Consider the following 22,232-nt stretch of genomic DNA (forward strand, 5'->3'; position numbering starts at 1 on the left):
GATGGAATTAGAGAGGAAATGAAGCTGGAGCCTATCATGAGGGCTCTGAAGGCCTTCTTGAGAGCTTGGGATTCTTCTGTGGGAGAGAGGGGAGACTTGAAATGTTTTGAGCAGACTATTTTATGTCACATGGTGATAAGAGCTCCAAGGAAAAATAAAGCAGAGAAGTGGGGAGGAGTACTGGTGTGAGAAGTGATGGCAAAAACCGCATTTATTTTTGCACCAACCTAGTAATATTAAACAGACTGGGTCAGGAAAAGCCTAAAACCCAGAAGGGAGCAAGTTGTATGAATATCTGGGGGTGTGTTATTCTAAGAAGAAGAAATAGTAAATGTAAAGGAAGACCCTAATTTAGGAGTATAGCTTACTTATTCAAAGAAATTTTACTTCACAGGATATGCATTTAATAACAACTTATTGAATAAATGATTAGATAACTCAATTTAGATGTAATTATATATATTGACTCAAACTTTAAAATTATTTTCAGTGGTCTGATTCCATAATTAATACAGTCCCCATAAATTTCACAATCTACTGGCTTTCACTTTTCACATGGCACTAGCTAAAGAGAACAGAAGATGCTGTGAGTACTCATTAAAAAAATCCTTTTGTGACAGCTCCACTCTTCCCAGTCTGGGTAAGGTATCCCTGTGCTATTATTCTTTATTACGCTTATCTTAACCCTCATTATACTGGATGTACTTGTGTCTAACCCCACTATTGAGATTTTAGAGGTTAATGGATAAATTCTTCCTTGTCTAAGAAAGGTAGATAGACACAGGAATTGAACACATAGAGATTTTAAGATGTTAGTTTTATTATTGACTTATTAAAAGAAGAAAAAGTTTGGAATAAAGATGTATGACCAAATAATCATGATAATATACATCATTGAGTTAGATATCTAATACTCACCTTACTAGTTGTCACAGCTGGACTAACATTGGCCTTCTCTGATCCGTGGAAAATGCCCCTTTTACCGCGTAACAGAAAGCAGATATGAGCACTTGCTTCCTGTAAGCAGAAAGATTCCAAATCTGAGTACTTCCACAGGGGTGAAGCCATGCATGCCTAGTACTCAATCCTAAATTCTCCATCAGATAAAACATTTAACCTTCTCTGGGGAGGATTGGTAAAGAGGCAGAGAACACTCAAGATTGATGATTTTCCTCTACTTGGAAACAAGATTGATCCATAAAGACTCAACACTCAAGGATGCCTGTCTGTCATGTTCTCTAATTCTCAGTGCTTAAGAAAGTGCCTGGTGTATAGAAAGTTAAAAACAATATTGGATTAAATAAGTAGTTAAAGATCATGGTAAAAATCTAATGTTATCCTTGCCTCACACCCTAAAAACTAAACCCGTCAAAAGTATCCAGAAGAGGCAGGTTAGATGGAATATATGCTTAAGGTTCTTGCTTAGTTTCCACAGCATCCTGCTAATACTGCCAATACTTATCTTTATGTCTAGTTTAAAATTAATCACCAAGATAGTATTTCTCATTCATCTAGGAAAACTACACAGTGAAAACAATATTAAGAACCACTGTCTTGTTTTGGATAAATAGGAGCCAAGGACTGGCCAGAGGGTACGGAATGGGTGATCCGAGTGATCCAACACAGTGTAGATGAAAGGAACATGTACCACCCAACTGAGGTATCACTCCAAAGAAAAGAGGCAGAGACACAAAAATCCAATTTATTTTTATTTTTATTTGTAAAGGCTACATAATAGGTATATATATTTATGGAATATCAAATATGAGATATTTTGATACAAGCATACAATGCATAATAATCACATGAGGGTAAATGGGGTATCCATCACCTCAAGCATTTATCCTTTCTTTGTGTTACAGACAATCAAATTATACTTTTTTAGTTATTTTTAATTGTATCATAAATTGTTGACTGTAGTCACCCTGTTGTTCTATCAAATATTAGATCTTATTCATTCTATTTTTTTGTACCCATTAACCATTCCCCAACCTTCACCACCCTTCATAACCTCTGGTAAACATCATTCTACTGTCTATCTCTGTGAGTTCAATTATTTTAATTTTTAGATCTCACAAATAAGTAAGAATATGTGAAGCTTGTCTTTCTGTGCCTGGCTTATTTCACTTAACCAAATGAACTCCACTACCACCCATGCAGTTTTGAATGAAGGATATCATTTATTATGACTAAATAGTACTCCATTGTGTACATTTTACACATTTTACATTGTGTACATGTACTACATTTCTTTATTCATTTATGTGTTGTTGGAAACTTAGGTTGCTTCTAATTCTTGGCTATTGCGAATCATGCTGCAATAAACATGGAAGTGCAGAAATCTCTTCAATACAGATTTTCTTTTTGGAGGGCATATACTTAGCAGTGACATTACTGGATTATATGGTAGTTCTATTTTTAGTTTTTGCAGGAAGCTCCAAATTATTCTCCATAGTGATTGTAATAATTTATATTCCCGCCAACGGTGTACAAAGGTTCCTTTTCTTCACATGCCAACCAGCATTTATTATTACCTTTCTCTTGAATAAAAGCTATTTTAATTGGGGTAAGGTGATATCTCGTTATAGTTTTGATTTTCATTTCTCTGACAATCAGTTATATTGAGCACCTTATAATGTACCTGTTTGCCATCTATGTCTTCTTTTAATAAATGTCTACCCAGATCTTTTGCCCATTTTTGAATCATATTATTAGATTTGTTCCTACAGAGTTGTTTGAGCTCCTTACTTATTCTGGGTTTTAATACCTTGTTAAATGGATAGTGTGCAAATATTTTCTTCCATTTTTTGGGTTGTGTCTTCACCCCGTTGTTTCCTTTGCTGTGCTGAAGGTTTTTGACTTGATGTGATCCCATTTGTTCATTTTTGCTTTTCTTGTCTGTGTTCATGATATCTTACTCAATAAATCTTCACCCAGTCCATTGTCTTGGAGAGTTTCCCCAGAGTTTTATTTTATTAATTTTATAGTTAGAGGTCTTAAGTGTAAGTCTTCAGTCCATTTTGATTTGATTTTTACATATAGTGAGAAATAGGGGTGTAGTTTCATTCTTCTGCCTGTGGACATCCAGTTTTCCCAGCATCATTTATTAAAAGGCTGTCCTTTCCCCAAAGTATGTCCTTGGCACCCCTGTCAAAAATGAAATCACTGTAGATGTATGAATTTATTTCTGGATTCTATTGTATTCCATTGGTCTATGTGCATGTTTTCATGACAGTACCATGATGTTTTGGTTACAATAGCTCTGTACTATAATTTGAAGTCAGGTAATGTAATTCCTCCAGTTTTGTTTTTTTTGCTCAGGATAACTTTGGCTATTCTGGATCTTTTGTGGTTCCATATAAATTTTAGAATTGTTTTTTATTTCAATGTCTGTGAAGAATATCATGGTGTTTTAATAGAAATCACATTGAATCTGTAGGTTGCTTTGGTTAGTATAGATATTTTAATTATATTGATTCTTCTAATCCATGAACATGGGATATCTTTCCATTTATTTGTCTTTCCTTCAATTTCTTTCATCAGTGTTTCACAGCTTTTACTGTAGACATCTTTCACTTATTTGGTTAATTATTAGGTATTTTATTTTATTTCTAGCCATTTCAAATGAGATTTTTCCTTGATTTTTTTTTACTTTTTTAAAATTTTATTTATTTATTTATTTTTTAGATGGAGTCTCACTCTGTCACCCAGGCTGGAGGGCAGAGTGCAGTGGCGCCATCTCGGCTCACTGCAACCTCCACCCCCTGGGTTCCAGGGATTCTCCTGCCTCAGTCTCCTGAGTAGTTGTGATTGTGATTACAGGCATGTACCACCATGCCTGGCTAATTTTTTTTTTTGTATTTTTGGTAGAGATGGGGTTTCACTATGTTGACCAGGCTGGTCTTGAACTCTTGGCCTCAGGTGATCTACTGGTCTCGGACTCCCACATCCCTTAATTTCTTTTTCAGATTGTTTGCTGTTGGCATATGGAAATGCTACTGATTTTTGCATGTTGATTTTGTATCCTGCAATTTTACTGAATTTTTTTTAGAGTTCTAACTTTTTTTGGTGGAATCTTTAGGTTTTTCTAAACATAAGATTATCTCATCTGGAAAGAAGAATAATATGACTTCTTTCCTTCCTATTTGGATGCCCTATATTTCTTGTCTGATTACTGTAGCTAGGACTTCAGTACTATGTTGAATAACATTGGTAAAAGTGGGCATTCTCCTCTTATTCCAGATCTTAAAGTGAAGGCTTTCAGTATTTCCCCATTCACTGATACAAGATATGGGTCTGTCATATATGGCTTTTATTGTGTTTAGGTATGTTCCTTCTATACCCAGTTTTTTATGGTTTTTTTTTTATCATGATGGGATGTTGAATTTCATTAATTAGGTCTTCAGCATCAATTGAAATGACCATGTGATTTTTGTCCTTCATTTCATTGATATGATATATCACATTGATTGTTTTGCATATATTGAAGTATCCTTGCATCCCTAGAAAAATTCTGCTTGGTAATAATTATGGTTAATGTAATGTGTTGTTGAGTGTGGCTTGCTAGAAATTTGTGGAGGATTTTTGCATCAATGGCCTTCAGGGATATTGGCCAGTAGCTTTTTTTTTTTTTAATATGTTTTGTCTGCTTTTGGTATTATTATAATGCTGGCCTCATAGAACGAGTTTGGAAGTATTTTCTCCTCCACTTTTTTTCGGTGGGGGGTGGGGAGAATAGTTTCAGTAGCACTGTTATTAGTTCTTCTTAAAATGTTTGTAAAAATTAACAGTAAAGTCATGGGGTTCTGGGTTTTTCTTTGCTGGCAGATGTTTCTTTACAGCTTCAGTTTCATTACCTGTTACTAGTTTGTTTAGGTTTTGGATTTCTTCATGGTTCAATCTAGCTGGGCTGCATGTGTCTAGAAATTTATTCATTTCTTCTATATTTTCCAATTTACTGGCATATGGTTGTTCCTAGTCATCTTTGAATTTGTGCATTATCAGTCATATTATCTCCCCTTTTTCATCTCTGATTTTATTTATTTGGATCTTCTCTCTTATTTTCTTAGTCTGGCTAAAGGTTTGTAGATTTTGTTTATCATTTTAAAAACCCAATTTTTCATTCTGTTGATCTTTTGGGTTGTTTTCTTCATTTAAATTTCATTTATTTCTGATAAATAAAATTTATTATTTATTATTTTTTTCTCCTACTGATTTTGGGTACACTTCATTCTTGCTTTTCTAATTTTTTAAAATGTATCATTAGGTTGTTGATTTGAAATTTTTCTACTTTTTTGATGTAGACACTTATTGCCATGAACCTTCCTCTTAGTAAAACTTTCCCTGTGTCCCATAGGTTTTTGCATGTTGTGTTCCATTAGCATTTGCTTCGTGAAAATTTTCAATTTCCTTCTTAATTTCTTCATTAACCCACTGGTTATTTGGAGACATATTGTTTAGTTTTCAACTGTTTGTATAGCTCCCAACATTTTTCTTGTTATTGATTTGTAGTTTTATTCCATTGTGGTCAAAGAAGATACTTGAAATAATTTGAATTTTTTTGAATTTTTTAAAACTTGTTTTGCAGCCTAACGTATGATCTATGCTTGAGAATTACATGCTGAGGAGAAGAATATGCATTCTTCTGTAATTGGATAAAAGGTTCTGTAAATAAATATTAAGTTTATTTGTTCTATAGTGCAGCTTACATCCAACATTTATTGAATTTATGCCTATGTAATTTGTCCAATGCTGAAAGTGAGGTGTTTATGTCTCCGATTATTATTGTATTGGGATCTACCTCTCTTCTTAGCTCTAATATCTGCTTTATATGCAGGGTGCCCCAGTGTTGGTTCCATATATCTTTAAAGTTGTTGAATCTTCTTGCTGAATTCAACCCTTTATTATTGTACAATGACCTTCTTTGTCTCTTTTTATAGTTTTTGTCTTGAAATCTATTTTGTCTGATATAAGTATATATTCTTTTGCTTTTTTAAAATTTCCATTTGCATGGAATATCTTCTAACCCTTTATTTTTTCAATCTCTGTGTGTCTTTATAGGTGAAATGTGTTTCTGTTTGGGTAACAGAGCTTTAGGCCTTGTTTTCTTATTGACTTAGCCACTCTTTGTGTTTTAATTGGAGAGTTTAACCCATTTACGCTCAGTAATATTATTGATAAGTAAGGACTTACTCCTGTCATTTTGTTATGTGTTTTGTGGTTGTTTTGTGCTCTCTCCCTTCTTCTCTTCCTTTTAGTAAAGAATATTTTCTCTGGTGGTATATTTTCATTTCTTGCCTTTTGTTTTTTGTGTATCTTTTGTAGATTTTTTTAAAATTTGTAGTTACTATGAAATTTGCAAATACTATCTTAAAACCCATTATTTTAAACTGATAACATTTATTGCATAAACAAACTAACAAGCAAAGAGAAAGATAATAAACACTACATTTTATCTTTATTCTCCCACTTTTAAACTGTTTGTTTTATCTATTTATACCTTATTGTACTGTTTATGTTTTGAGAAGTTTTGTAGTTATTTTTTACTGGTTCATCTTTTGGTCTTTCCACTCAAGATATGAATAGTTTATACATCACAATTACAGTGTTTTAATATTCTGTGTTATTCTGTGTACTTACTATTACCAGTGAGTTTTGCACCTTCAGTTGATTTCTTATTGCTCATTAACTTTCTTTTCTAACTTCCTTTAGCATTTCTTGTAAGACAGGTCTGGTGTTATCTCTCAGCTTTTGTTTGTCTGAGAAAGTCTTCTCCTTCATGTTTATATAAGTTTTTGCTTTTATATAAGTAAAAAAGAGTGAAACACACCTAGAAGATTTAGAAAATTTATTTTCTTTTGTCTCATCTGACTGTGTATTTTCAAATAGGCTGTCTTCAAGTTCACCAATTCTTTCTTTTGCTTGACCTATTCTGTTGTTAAAAGATCCTGATGCATTCTTCAGTATGTCAGTTGAATTTTTCAACTCCAGAATTTCTCCTTCTTTTTTAATTATTTCAATCTCTTGGTTAAATTTATCTGATAGCATTCTGAATTCCTTCTCTGTGTTATCTTGAATTTTGTTGAGTTTCCTCAAACCAAGTAGCTTGATTTCTCTCTGAAATATCACATATTCTGTGCCCTATAGGGTTAGTCACTGGTGCCTTATTTACTTTGTTTAGGCCATTTCCTGGATGGTCTTGTTGCCTGTTGATGTTTGTCAGCGTCTGGGCAATTGAAGAATTATGTAGTTATTGTAGGTTTCACAGTCTAGGCTTGTTTGTACCTATGTTTTTTAGGGAAGGCCTTCCAGGTATTCAAAGGGACTTGGATGTTGTTATCTAAGTTTTTGCTCACTGCCATCTTATCTGCATTAGGGAACATCCCAAGCCCAGTAACATTGTGGATCTTGCAGACTCGTTGAGGTACTATCTTGATAGTCTTATTAGATAATATATGGAAAAATTATTTGTATTACCACACAGAGTCTCTTACTCTCTTCCCTTTCTTTTCTCCAAATAAATGGATTCTCTCCCTGTCTCTGTGCTGAGCTACCTGGAGCTTGGGATGGCATAACACACTCCTGTGGCCGCCACCAAAAGCCAGCACAGCACTGTGTCTCACCAAAACCTGTTTTAACAACTGCATTGCCACTGCCTCCATTTACTTAAGGGCTAGGGCTCTACAATTAGCAAGTGACAAATCCAGCCAGGCTTGTATCTTTCCCTTCAGAGTGGCAAGGACTCCCCAGTCCCAGGTAGATCCTGAGATGCCGTCTTCTAGGTGGGGCATGATGGCAAAAACTTTAGGAATCTTTCTGATGCCCTATTCTACTGCAGCTGAGCTGGCACCCAAGCTGGAAGACAAAATCCTCCTCATTATTTCCTCCTCTTTACACAAGTAGAGGAGTGTCTCCCTGTGGCCACCAATGCCCCAGAACCACAGCAAGTACTGCCTGGATATTGCTAATGTTCATTCAATGCCCCAGTCAGACTCTGGTGAATGCTGCCAGGTCTGGGACTCTCTCTTTAGGTCAGTTGGCTCCCCACTGGTGCAGGGTAAGTCTGGAAGTGCCATCCAAGAGCCAAAGCCTGAAATCGGAGATGCTAAGAGCCCAGTTGGTGCTCTATCCCACTGTGGCCAACCTGGTACCCAAGCTGCAAGACAGTGTCCTCTTTATCCCTTTACTCTTCTCTCTCTTTTTCTTAAGCAGAAGTGCTGGGTCAGACCTGAAGCCAATATTTCTCTCAGTCTCACCCAAGATCCACAGTGAGTACTTCCTGGGTACCACTATTGTTTATTCAGGGCCTAAGGGCTCTTTAGTCAGCAGGTGATAAACTGTCCCAGGACTGGGTTCTTCTCTTCAAACAGGCAGGTTCTCATTTCACCCAGGGTATATTGAGAAATGTTGTCCAGGAACTAAAGCCTAGAATGGGGACTGCCTAACTCTGCCTGGTGCCCTATCCTGCTGTGGCTGAGCTGGTATTTAAGTTGTACGACAAAGTCCCCTTTACTCTTTCCTCTCCTTTCCTCAAGTGGATGGGAGGTGTCTTTCCCAGAGCTGTGAGCTCAACTGCTTGGAGCTGGGGGAAGGATGGTGCAAATGCTCTCTTGGCTACTCCAGGAGGTGTCTCAATAAGTTGCATGCCCCACAAGTCTACTGACTCTGGGCCCAGAACAGCACAAAGACCTCTCCAGGAATTACAATTATTATGGCCTTGACTGCCTTTCATGTTTATTTAGGACCTCAGAGCCCTTTAGCCCATGGTAGCAAGGCTTACCAAAACTCAATTTCCAACTAGTGGGATAGACGATTCCCCTCTGACTAGGGCTGGTCTAAGTGCTCCTTCTGTGGGCACTGGCTGAGTCATGCTTGGTGTTGTTTTCTGCTGTGACAGGGCAGTACTGAATTCCAAAGCAAAGTCCCACAATCACTGCATTCTCCTTCCCCCAAGTGTACAGCTTTTCCATGCCAGGCAGCCAGTGCCAGGGAATGGGGGTGGAGTGGTATCAGCAATTCAAGACCATTTTTCCTACTCTTTGCAGTGTCTCTTTTTAAATATCTGTTTAAAATCTAATTTTTGGTTCTTTTAAGGTACTGTTTCTGTGTTCAATTTGGTGATCTTAGGAGAGGAGATGATGGAGGAGGCTTCTATTCAGTCATCATGCTTTGCCTCCAAAAATCCAATTTTAATACATTGTAAAAGATAGGAATACTAGACCAGAGCACAGGAGAGTAGGCAAGAAGAATAGGAGATAATGCCTGGAGAGATTCCCATTCAAATAATACAGGAGGTTAACATTTGTGCTTTTGATACTCCAGATTTCTACAACCATAAATAGCAAAGATTTAGATCCATATTCACTTGCTCCCCCATTGGAAGAGATTAACAAAAAGAAGGTCCACAAAGAAGCACTTGTTGTTTCAATTGATATGATTACTGACACACTGGGAATCATTTTACATTTATGTAAATCCCTACTCCCATTTGGCAGAGGTCATGCTCATGCTTTTTTGAGTTTTATATTTAGTTTTTAGCATGTCTGTATCTAAGCATATTTAGAAATAATTAAATAATTACACTATCTTCTTATCCTTAAATTTATTGATTTTTTTTATTGGTTGTGTCCAATCAGATATTAATATTGTTGATTATATTTGATTTTTTTTTCTGAATCCTTCCTGGAATTTCCCCTAACTTTACTTGATTATTTTCCTGTGGTTTCATTAACATATTGATCACAGTTAGTTTAAATCTCTTCACTGATATTTTCAACATCTTGATTATCTGTCCCTTCTTCCATTGACATTTTTCTAATTTTTGCAGTTTTTGTATTTTTTATTGAATTCTGAGAAGTGTGTTTGAAAGAACAACAGAGGGCTATGATAAGCAGACTTCTGAGATGGCCCCTAATTAACTCTAATTTTTGGCATCGCTGACCTTCTGTAATGGCCTCCCCTTGAGTGTGAGCTAGACTTAGTGGCTTGCTTCTAACCAACAGAATATGTGAAGGTGATGAGATAGCACTTCCATGATTAGTTGACAAAAGAGTGTGACTTCCATCTTGATAGCTGACTGTCCCTATTACCTTCTTGTCTTGCACACTTTGATGAAGCAAGCCACCATTTGAGAAAGGCCCATGTGACAAGGAACTAAGAGTGGCCTCTGGCCAACAGGCAATAAGGAACTGTGTCCCTCAGGTAAACAACATTAAAAAAAATCGAAGTTGTCAACAATCATTGAATAAGCTTGGAAAAGATCCTTCCCAGATGACCCTTTAGATAAGATAGCAAGATCTTCGGCCTTCGTTATAAACTGTGGGAAATTGTAAAGCAAATGGAGAAGCTAAGCCACAGAATCTGTGCAATTATAAGTATGTTTTTGTGGCAATTTGTTGTACAGCAATAAATAACTAATGAGAGGTCTTTACTTTGTGAGGAAGCTACAGTAAAATTGTGATTAGTTTATTTCAATAAGATTTTGAATAAGTTCAGAGAGAGGCTGAAACTTTAGTCTTTCTAGCAGGGCAGAAGAATTTAAGTACCAGGAGATTAAAGAAATATCTCTTTGCTTTTCCACCTAGCTTCCAACTTTCTACATAGTCACAAGGTGCTGATATATTTGATCTCACCAGAGGTTAAAATGCGTTGTAGCTTTCATTATTTTGCCTCTGGATTCAAACGTTTTGAAGGTGAGTTCAAGTCTCTTCCTAAGATAGGACCTTGGAACCAAACACCATTAGACTTCCAGACCTCCAAATTGTGGAGAGTTTGAAAATGGCAGACATTGATACCATGAGAACATGGGGCTGAAAACCTTAGGACTGCAGGGCCATGAGATTTGGAAATTGTGAGATTCAGAGATCATGAGATCTCTTTCCAATTTCTAGTGCTGCTTTCAACTTCTACTTACTCAGCAAAATTCTCATATGAAACAGTTACTTCAGGAAGAGAATTCTTTTGGTGCTGGGCAATGTTATAGACTCAAATTCAACATTCCAGCACAACAGTTCATCAAAAGTTTGGCTGGTTTCTCCTTCTCTGGACAAAGTCCTGATCTGTAAGCTGTAGCTCCCCTTTCCCCAACACCAACAGGTGGGTTCAAATATTAAAGCATCTTCTGTTACTTGTTCAACTGGAAAAGTTTGTCCCTGTGGAGTTTAGATGTTTTAGATTTATTTGTGTACATAAGTCTTCAGTGAAATTTTTAACTGTATGATTTTTTGGTTAATCCTTTTACTTTTTTTGCTCTTTCAGCCAGAATAAAGGCCTTTCATATTCTTCCACACAATATTCAAAAGTAAGTCACCTTGATGTTCATTTGTGAATTTATAAATTCGCTACTTAAAATAAGTTCATTGTTTTTATCTATATAAAACTACCTATTCCATTCATAATTGAAGTGAATATTCAGAACGTCTAAGTTGAAATCTCTTAAATGTAATATATTCACATGTTGCTGCAATACATGTGAGTAAAATTGTTTAGCTCAAGCTTTGTATTATTTTAGCCTACATAAGAGCAAAATAAAATTTATTTTTTCATTATTTAACAATCCTTAGACAATCCAGCCAAGTGTTAATTTGAACACGGAGGAAGATCAATAAATATATTTTTTCTGATTAATTGATCTCATCTCTTTGTATAGCAGAACTAAATGCTACTATAGAATCTAATTTCAGAATTTTAAATAAAGTACATTATATTATCAAATAAAATTGATATCCTTAAGATTTCACTACAATATCATGAAACCAGTGTATAACAAATTTAAGATGCATTTTAAATGATTTTCTTAAGATCAAATATATTGATAAACAAGAAAATATTTATTTACTTATTTATTTATTGAGAAGTGAAAAGGTTGATCACTATTTGGAAAAATATACTCATATTTTCCTTCTTTAATAGTTTAATCCTCTTTGATTTGATATAGTTATGGTGAACCTTCTTCTAAAGTGTAAGTTTAATGGTGACTTTTTTTCTTAAAGATCATAGGAAAGGTCATTATGTAACTTAAATTGGAAAGCCATATTTTAATTTAAAACTGAATAATTAAATTCCAGTAGTAGTTAGTGTTCACAAGAAATAATCTCCAATAAAATATTAAAATATATCATTGCTGTTTGTCTGTATTCAAGATAATCAAAAGTATTATTCTGAAAATTCTAAACAAGACAGAAATACCCTTCTCCAATTACCAGATAATTATTCTTATTTGTTAGGTAAATGGTGTATTTACATCTTTTTGTTATAATCTTTCAACAAGTGAAATAACTCATTAAGACTTTATATTAATCAGAATACTCAGATATAGAAAATACAAATACTGTTGTCTTCTTGCATGCATTTTTTCCATAATGAAACTCAAATAGACAGCACCATATGTTTACTTAGTTATATAGGTAGTATGAGAAGAGGAAATAGCTGTGTTGGGCACAAGTTAGTATTATAAATGAAGATAGTTGAGAGTTAGCCTATGTGGCAATTTTATAAAATAGTCTATAAAACTTTCTACTTAGAAAGAATGGTCCATTATTTCTGGGCATCAGATTAAGAGCAAACTTTGTGCTCTTTACTCCTTAATCTTCTCCAAAGTTTAAGGAATATTTTCATACTTAGTTTTTCTGTACTCAAAAAGCACTTTTATTCTCACATATCGGGATTCAATACCTGGATAATTTTAGCCTTTTGATTACTATTGTTGTAGGCAAAAGAGCACTTTACAGTTTTTTTTTCCTTTCTTTCTTTCTTTCTTTTTTAAAATCTGGTACTAAAACTTCAACTTAATTTATTTCAAACTGAAAGTTAAACTCAGATTGACTTTGGAAAAACCTTCTAACATCTTAAAAATGAAGAAACATTACATTGATCACAAAATAAATATTAAAATTTTATTGATAGATCAACAATTTAATTTATAAAACATTCAAGGCCTATGACTTTTCTACAAAGTTAATCAGTGAAGAGAAAATGGAAAGCCAGAATATATGTCTGGATATCACAATACTAAGAGCAATAAAATGTTTTCAATTGCCTCAGCATACATAACATTTTTATTTAAAATGAAGTCCTATAACCCAGAGTGCAGAATATTTAAACTCTGCTGCAATGAATTGATTGTCTTGATATAGAAAACTACTGCATCCACAGTGATTAAGATGGAATACGTTAATGAAGTAAGAGGGCATTTTTCAGTCAAAGTTGGTGGTGTTCTTGGATGTACTGTCTTTCCTTCTTTACCTTTTCTCTGCTATGTTTATCCTCTCCGAGCTGCTCTCATGTGTAAAGGCTCTGGAATTCCTGAAAAAATGATACACTAGCTTCATTCTCTACTAGTATAGTTTAAACAAGATGAGCTCATGTTAAACAAAAAGGGCAGCCACTAAGGGATTTAAAATGTACAAGTTGGTCATCTGAGAGGGTTTTGTACTTATGATAAGGGAGGAGACCACCCCTCATATTGTCTTATGCCCAATTTCTGCCTCCAAAGAAAGAAAAAGTAAAAACTAAAAGGCAGAAATGAAATCCACAAGCAGACAGCCCGGCGCCACACCCTGGGCCTGGTAGTTAAAGATCGACCCCTGACCTAATCGGTTATGTTATCTATAGATTACAGACATTGTATAGAAAAGCACTGTGAAAATCCCTATCCTGTTTTGTTCCGATCTAATTACCGGTGCATGCAGCCCCCAGTCATGTACCCCCTGCTTGCTCAATCGATCAAGACCCTCTCACGCACACCCTCTTAGAGTTGTGAGCTCTAAAAAGGGACAGGAATTGCTCACTCAGGGAGCTCAGCTCTTGAGACAGGAGTCTTGCCGATGCCCCCGGCCGAATAAACCCCTTCCTTCTTTAACTCGGTGTCTGAGGAGTTTTGTCTGCGGCTTGTCCTGCTACAATGAGACTTGTATATAGCTTTATGCTATTAAATGAGTATAGCATAAGTTTTATGCCTCAATTAGCATCTTTGAAGCTCTCTGTTCGTCTCCCCTCTAGTGGGTAGATCCTTTCTCTATTGCATACTTTTATGTCAGTGTGGTTTAATTTCAGCTAAATCCTACAGAAGCATATTGAATACTCACTGTGTGCTACAGCCACGAAGATGAACATGACATTGCCTTGCCTCAAAAATACTTAATATTTAGCAGGCCATTAAATATTATATATTCAAGGAATACTTCAAAGCAGATTCAAAAACTATAGCAATTCATCAAGAGGGAGCCTCTTCCTCTTGTAGGTACAAAAATCTTAGACCTTACTCAATAAACATGCTGAAGAAAACTACTATAAAATCTGGACATATTGCAAACAGCAACTCCCTGAAGGTGCTGGAGATTGAGCAGAAACAGATTCTGCACAGACTAACCTGAGGAAGAAAGACAGAAGCTGGACAGGGAAGTAACAGTCCCCACAGCTTTTAACCTTGAACTAATTTCAGTCCACACCTCTCATACAGTAGTAATAAAGACATGTGTACCAAAAGCCCACAGTCTTTCTGGCCTGGGGAACCAGAATACTGAAGCAGAGAAACCACAAATGCTGCAGAGAGTCGGGGAATAGCCAAAGGGAAAGAGTCATAGAGGGAATCCCTAAAGTTTTCTCACATCTCTGACTAATTCCTGAATCATGCATTTACAGAACAGACTAAAAACGATTCACTTAAAGACCATAGGCCTAAATTGAGACCAGAGAGCTGTCCAAGAAGCAGTTTGCAACTCAATCCCATCTGAAAAAAAGTTACTTTATACAACAAAGGAAACACTCATTGGAGAAAATAACACAATACAGATCCTCCATGACTTCACATTCAGAGTGTCTAATATGCAATCCAAGATTATGTAAAATAAGAACTAAGAAGATGGAACATTTTCTCAAAAGAAAAGAAAATATTGAAACTAACTGGCATGAATTTGAAGCTACCTGTTATATCTATTCTCAGTGAAATAAAATAAAACATGATGTCTTTATAAATAAAAATATAAGCAAAGAAAAAAGAAAGATTAAGGGGACTTTCAGACAGGTGATGAAAATCATCGAAGGTGAAGAATATAGAGAAAATAATAAAGCCATAAGGACTTGTTAGATTATACAAAATTGTCAAACATACATGTAATTTTAATACCAAAATAATAGAAAGGAAACAAATCAGAAAACTAATATTTAAAGAAATAATAGTGAAAATTTTTCTAAAAGTGTTGAAAGACAGGAATTTGGAGATATAAGGTGCTAAAGGTACCCTAAATAGAAAAAACCAACCAAACAAAAAAGTCTGTGCTGAGGTACATCATAGTGAAACTGTTGAAGGACAAATATAAAGAACAAAACTTGAAAGCAGCAAATAGAAAATGACATATTATGTACAGGGTGACAACAAACCCATTACTAGCTGACTTCTCACCATAAATAGAGGTTCCCACAAAAGACTGAAACAACACCTTTGTGATGAATGTTTCGAAAAGAAAAAGAAAATAAAAAAAGGGAGGAAAACCTGCTAACCCAGAATTCGATAACTAATAAAAATATTACTTAAGAATGAGGGCAAAATAAAGATATTTTCAGAAACTCAACACCAGCAAATCTGCACTATAAGACATACTAAAGTAAATTGTGCAAACTGAAGAGAAGTGATACCAGATAGAAACTCAGATTCCAAGAAAACATTAAAGAACACAGAAAATAGTAAATACCTGCAAAATTGCAAGTTGTTTTTTATTTTACTTTTTTTTCCTTTGGTTCTTTATATACCATGTCGATGTTTAAAACAAACTTAAAACATTTTCTTGCAGTACTTGAAGATGTACTTATATATTATACATAACAACTACCTGTTATAACCAAAAGGAAGCTAAAATGGATCTACATGCTTTCAAGATTTCTATAATTGATTCTAAGTAGTATGGTGTTAATTATAAGTGGACTGTGAAAAGTTAACGATGTATGCTTTATAAAAAACAACCACTTAAAAATGCAAAAGTGCCACAAAAATGTTTATTAAAAATTTTAAATAAAATTCAAAGAATCATCCAAATTATTTTTTATTTATTTATTTTATTTTTTTTTTTTGAGATGGAGTCTCACCCTGTCGCCCAGGCTGGAATGCAGTGGTGCGATCTCGGCTCGCTGCAACCTCCGCCTCCCGTGTTCAAGCAATTCTCCTGCCCCAGCCTCTCAAGTAGCTGAGATTACAGGCGCACGCCACTACCGCCCAGCTAATTTTTGTATTTTTAGTAGAGACGGGGTTTCACTGTGTTGGTCAGGCTGGTCTCAAACTCTTGACCTCATGATCCACCCCCCTCGGCCTCCCAAAGTGCTGGGATTACAGGCGTGAGCCACTGCGCTCAGCCCAAATTATTTTTTAAAAGCAGAAAAGGAAGAACAGAGGAACAGAAAACAAAAAAGATAACCAAAAAATAAAAAGCAAAATAGTAGTCTCAAATGCAAACATGTCAATTGTTACATTAAAAGTTAATTAATTAAATATTCCAATAAAAAAAGTTTGCCAAAAAAAATTTTAAGCCAAACATTTACAGACCACTTACAAGAGATGTGCTTTAAAATATAAAGATTAGTTAGAAATAAATGAATAAATGTGAACACTGAGCATAGAGGCTAGAATGACTACATAACTATGAGAGAAAATAGATATTAAAACAAAAAAAATCATAACTGTGTGTCAGTTCATCAGAGAACAATAATAGCTGATGTGCAGATAATAACAGAAGTTTAAAATACATGATGCAAAAATTAACAAAATTTCAGGAAAAATTATACACTTCTATAATTTTATGTGAAAAAAACTCATTTCTCTAAGTAATTTATTAAATAGCTAGACAAAAATTAGCAGACATGGATCTGAACAGCACTATCAAATATCTTTCGTTGATTGATATTTATAAAAGGCTACACCTCAAAATAGAAGAATGCATATTTTTAAAATGTATATTGTTCATTTTTCAGGGTAAATTATATTTTGAGGAATTAAAAATGCCTTAATAAATGTAAAAAGTTTGAAGTCATACAATATGTTCTCTAATCCCAATGGAATTAAATTAAAATTTCCTAACAATATTGCCAGGAAAATCCCTGGTATTTGGAAATTACACAATATATTTCTCAATAAATATTTGGCTAAGAAGAAATTATAAAATTGGTGATAATAAAAATATAAAGTATCAAAATTTGTGGGGTTCTACCAGAGCAATGCTTAAAGGAAAATGTATAGCACTAAAAGTTTCTATTAGAATATAAGGATGTCTGAAATCTATGATCTAATTTTCTACTCTAAAAAAAAAAAAAAGCAAATTAAGTCCAAAGCAGGCAAAAAATTAGAGCAATAATCAATGAAATACAAAAAAATAATAAAAATCAATGAGATTAAAACTTGTTTTTGAAAAACAGTCAATATAATGAATAAATGCTTAGCCAGAGAGAATGAGGAACAAAAGAAAAAAGGAAAGAAGGAAGGATGAAAGGAAGGAACAAAAGAGAGAAGCAGAGTTAAGGCACAAATTATTAATAACAAATGAAAGAAGTAACATCATTACAGAGCCTTAAGAGTTCAAAAAGATAGTAATGAAATATTATGAACAACTTTATGGCAATACATTTGACAATCTATATGAGATTAACACATTTCTTGAAAGAAATAAACTACCAAAGCTAATGTAGGAAAAACTAGAAAATGTATATTGATGCACACAAATTAAAGAAATTGAATTCATAATTAATCCACTTCCTCCTCCACATTATTTTAAAATATTTCTTCCAGCTTATAAGGCTCCATTGATTATTCTTTTTTCAAACATTTAAGAAAGAAACAATTCCAATTCTACAGCTTCAGAAAATAGAGGTCTGAACAATTCTCAACTTATTTTGTTGAGATATAACAGGAAACGAGAATGACAGACTAATAGTCCTCATGAACATAGACACAAAAGCTATAATATATTAGCAAATAAAATCCAATGAAATGTAAAAAGAATAATACATTATGACTATGTGGAAGTTTATCCTTGGAATTTAAGGTTGGTTTATATGTGAAAAATCAATCAACTTAATTCAGCATTTTAATAAAATAAAGGATAAAACCATATGACCCCTTCAATGCATGCAAGAAAATTATTTGAAAAATATTTAAACCTTTTCATTGATAACAATTCTCAGAAAACTGAGAATAGAAGAAAACTTTCTCAACCTGATTAAGAAAATCTGAAAAATCAACAACTAAGATTATCTTCAAAGCTGAAAAGATGAGTGATTCCTACTCAAGGTTAAAACAAAGAAGGTCAATTCTCACCACTTCTATTTAAAATTTTACTGAATGTTCAACTAACACATTAAAGCAAGTAAAAGAAATAGAAACCATATGGAGAGATTATAAAGGAATTATAAAACTTTTCTTATATGCACACGACATGATTGTATATGTAGAAATAAGCTAAGAAATGCATAAAAACTTTACTAATATAAATAAGTGAATGTTACACTCTTTTGGGATGCAAGATCAATATACAAAATTAGTTATATTTTTATATAGCAGTAAAAATGATTAGAAAACAAAATTTTTAAAAAGCAACATTATTTATTACAATAGCAACTGAAAATATAATTAGGGCTAAATTTGACCAAAATGTGCAAGAACATAAGTTGAAAGTATAAAATTAAAAAAAAAATGAAGTTAAGGAAGACCTTAATATACAAAGATATATACTATATTTATGAATGGAAGATTCTGTAATGGTAACATGAAAATCTTCTTCAAATTAAATTGTAGGTACAATGCAATCACAATCAGAACACTACTGGACTTTGTGAAGAAACTTGTAAGCTTATTTTAAACTTCATATGAAAATGCAAAAGACCAAGATTATTCAAAATAATTTGAGAAAATAAGAGTAAATGTTGAGCACTTACATCAACTAATTTAAAAACTTATTCTAAAAATAATCAAGCAACATGGTCTTGGTATAAGGGTGGATTAATTGATCAATGTGACAGATCGGAGAGACCAGGAATAAACCACACATACATAGTAAACTGATTTTTGACAAAGGTCCAAAGTAATTAATTAAGAAAAAATATAAGCATAGCCGTAAAATGTATGAATTTTATTATATGTAGGCAGTATTTTTAAAAGAATATGAGAGATTACACCTTGCTCAGAGGGTCAAGAGAGTTTTCATTCACAGTTGATGTACAAGATAAGGCTTCAATGATGGATAAAATGTTTATTGTGCTCTCGGAGGTAAAAAAAATTCCAATACAGAAAATCAAAATATTTCACACCAAAATACACTTCTTTGGCATATTTTGAGATTGCGGTTCAGAGGGCCTGCAAAGAGAAATAACCTGGAAAGCTGTCTTTTGTGGGTGAGATTTGCATCTGTAGCACAAATCGGCATCTGAGGCAGCCAGGATTTCTCTGAGACCTTCCGTTGGCTGAATTTAGGGAAAATTAACAGAGAGTCTGACACCTTTAAAAGTCTGAAAGAAATATTCACAACAGCAAAGACTTGGAGCCAACCCAAACGTCCATCAATGATAGACTGGATTAAGAAAATGTGGCACATATATACCATGGAATAGTATGCAGCCATAGAAAAGGATGAGTTCATGTCCTTTGCAGGGACATGGATGACACTGGAAACCATCATTCGCAGCAAACTAACATAGGAACAGAAAACCAAACACTGCATGTTCTCACTCATAAGAACAATATTCTTATGTTCCATGTATTCTTGAACAAAAAGAATACATGGACACAGGGAGGGGAACATCACACACTAGGGCCTGTTGGGGGCTGGGGGACTAGGGGAGGGATAACATTAGGAGAAATACCTAATGTAGGCGACGGGTTGATGGGTGCAGCAACTACCATGGCACATGTATGCCTGTGTAACAAAACTGCAAGTTCTGCACATGTAGCCCAGAACTTAAAGTATAATTTAGGCCGGGCGCGGTGGCTCACGCCTGTAATACCAGCACTTTGGGAGGCCGAGGCGGGCGGATCACGAGGTCAGGAGATCGAGACCATCCCGGCTAAAACGGTGAAACCCCGTCTCTACTAAAAATACAAAAAATTAGCCGGGCGTAGTGGCGGGCGCCTGTAGTCCCAGCTACTTGGGAGGCTGAGGCAGGAGAATGGCGTGAACCCGGGAGGCGGAGCTTGCAGTGAGCCGAGATCCCGCCACTGCACTCCAGCCTGGGCGACAGAGCGAGACTCCGTCTCAAAAAAAAAAAAAAAAGTATAATTTAAAAAAAATTTTTTTAAATAAAAAAAAAGAAATATTTACCATCTATTCTCTCTGAGGGCTGCTACCTGTGAGGTTTCATCTACAGGACAAGGCTGTCTTTGCTTGCCAGGCCTCATCTTTCTCCAACTCCCATAACCTGTTTACCAGCAGAACCTATTTGGCTACAGTCCAAGCCTCTATTCTTTCTATAACCTCAAGATGATAAATAAGCTTCTGAACCCCATGGGAAGGTTGAGGGAATTATTCTGTGGCTCTCCTCCATGTACACAGTCTCACATATTTATGCCTTTTTTTTTCAGTTAATCTCCTTTTGTGAGCTGGTTTTTCAATAAACCTCAGAGAGGAAAAAAAAAAAAAAAAAGTTTTGTGTCCCCTTTGGCCCCTACACCCATTGTAGTGACTGCACTACTTAGCACAGCATCTAATTGATATAAAAACATCAGAAATATTTATAAAGGAAAGATAGGAAAAGGAAAAGAATAGAGAGAGATAAGCCATGATCAAAAGAGGAGAGAAAGTTCAGGATGGACAATTTGTTTCAAGTTCCCAGGTCTCTGAAAAAAAGGAGTACTTGATTTGTGAAAGCATTTGGATTTTATTTAGACTATAATATAAATGTAGAGTGAAGTTTTCTCGTTTATGTTTTAAGATTATTCTGGCAGCTGGGTAAATTGTGTATATAAAGGGGGACAAAATGGACACAGGAAGAAAGAGTAGGAGGAGAATATTATCACAGTGTACATGAGAGATGTTTGGAATAGGATGGTAGCTCTGCAAATAAACAAGTGAAGAGCTATATTTTGGAAACAGATCTACAAGATTTGCTGGACTAGTGGTAAAGGAAAAGAATGAAAAAAAGGATGATACCAATACAAATCACTTGAGCAAATAGGTAAGTGGTGATGCCCTCTCCTTAGACGGAGAAAATTTTACTAAAGAAGAAGGTAACCTTATGAATTTTTAACATTTTATAATTGTCCCCTTTAGTATATATAATTTGACTTTTCACCATTCAATTTTTGTGACCTTATTTTATATAAAGGCAGACAAAGATTTATACTTAAAGATGATTTGCTCTATCACACTTCACAATCGGGTACTGAATTTTAATATTCCAAGCAGCAAGTTTCTTAAACATGAGATTTCTGATATCAAAATATAAGAGTGTTCTGGAAAAGATGTACTTTCATTAAGCATTGGGATACAAAGTTTAAGATAAATATGTTAGACAAGATGCCTAAGAGTTTTACAATGCTACATAAGCAACGATTGGCCAGCTCTGATTCCATTTTCCTAATTTCTCCAGAATCCTGACAAAAACACAGTCTGAGGGAAAAACGAATCACTTTTCAGCTGGTTTCTTGTGGTGATGTCTTGTCTGTCATGAATCACTTCATTAAAATTAAACCACTTATTGTTGTGAGAATTAAGATGACTTGAAATTAAAATTAAGCTCCATGGATGAAAAATTTTCTATGGCTTATATTTATGGGCACTGGAAATCTTGGGAGCTTGCAAGTCCACAAGATACTACAGAATTAAAACCAACAAAAACATCTCTGAAGTGACTGCCCAGATTTAAGGCTATGTGGCTGAAAGAAAATCTAAGGCAACTGGATCTTCATAATTCATTAAAGTCCAGGAAGAAGGGCTCAGAGCCTACTCCCTGCCCAAACCACACCTGCCTTTGTAGCTGACAAGCATCACCACCAGGAGGTGAATCTGTGGGTACCATGCTAAAACCGGAAGGGAATTCTCCAGAGCACGATGAGGACATTTTGCTTCAAAAACGTATGTTTTAATACTAAAATTTGATGTCCAAGAACTTCTTAGTATGTTAATACTATCATTCAAGCAAGGAAAGAAACAAGTAGAGAGATGGAAGTAGACAGATGGAAGCAGGCACTTACTTCAAACTCCTGAGTGGACACATAGATGTTTTGTAAATTTTTGTTTAGTGATGTATTCATTGAACAA

The 22,232-nt window shown here is 34.7% G+C and overlaps 1 long non-coding RNA gene across 1 annotated transcript in view; it reads right to left on the reverse strand.

The window, feature by feature from the left end:
* Positions 1-800: 800 nt before the first annotated feature.
* The window catches only part of LOC105374037 (uncharacterized), a 112,561-nt gene continuing 91,129 nt past the window's right edge, over positions 801-22,232 (reverse strand). The window contains exon 4 of the long non-coding RNA XR_924328.3: positions 801-1,017. This is a non-coding gene — a long non-coding RNA (uncharacterized LOC105374037). The remainder of the gene's footprint in view (positions 1,018-22,232) is intronic.

This window comes from Homo sapiens, chromosome 3 (genome assembly GCF_000001405.40).
Source record: "Homo sapiens chromosome 3, GRCh38.p14 Primary Assembly".
Lineage (NCBI taxonomy): Eukaryota > Metazoa > Chordata > Mammalia > Primates > Hominidae > Homo > Homo sapiens.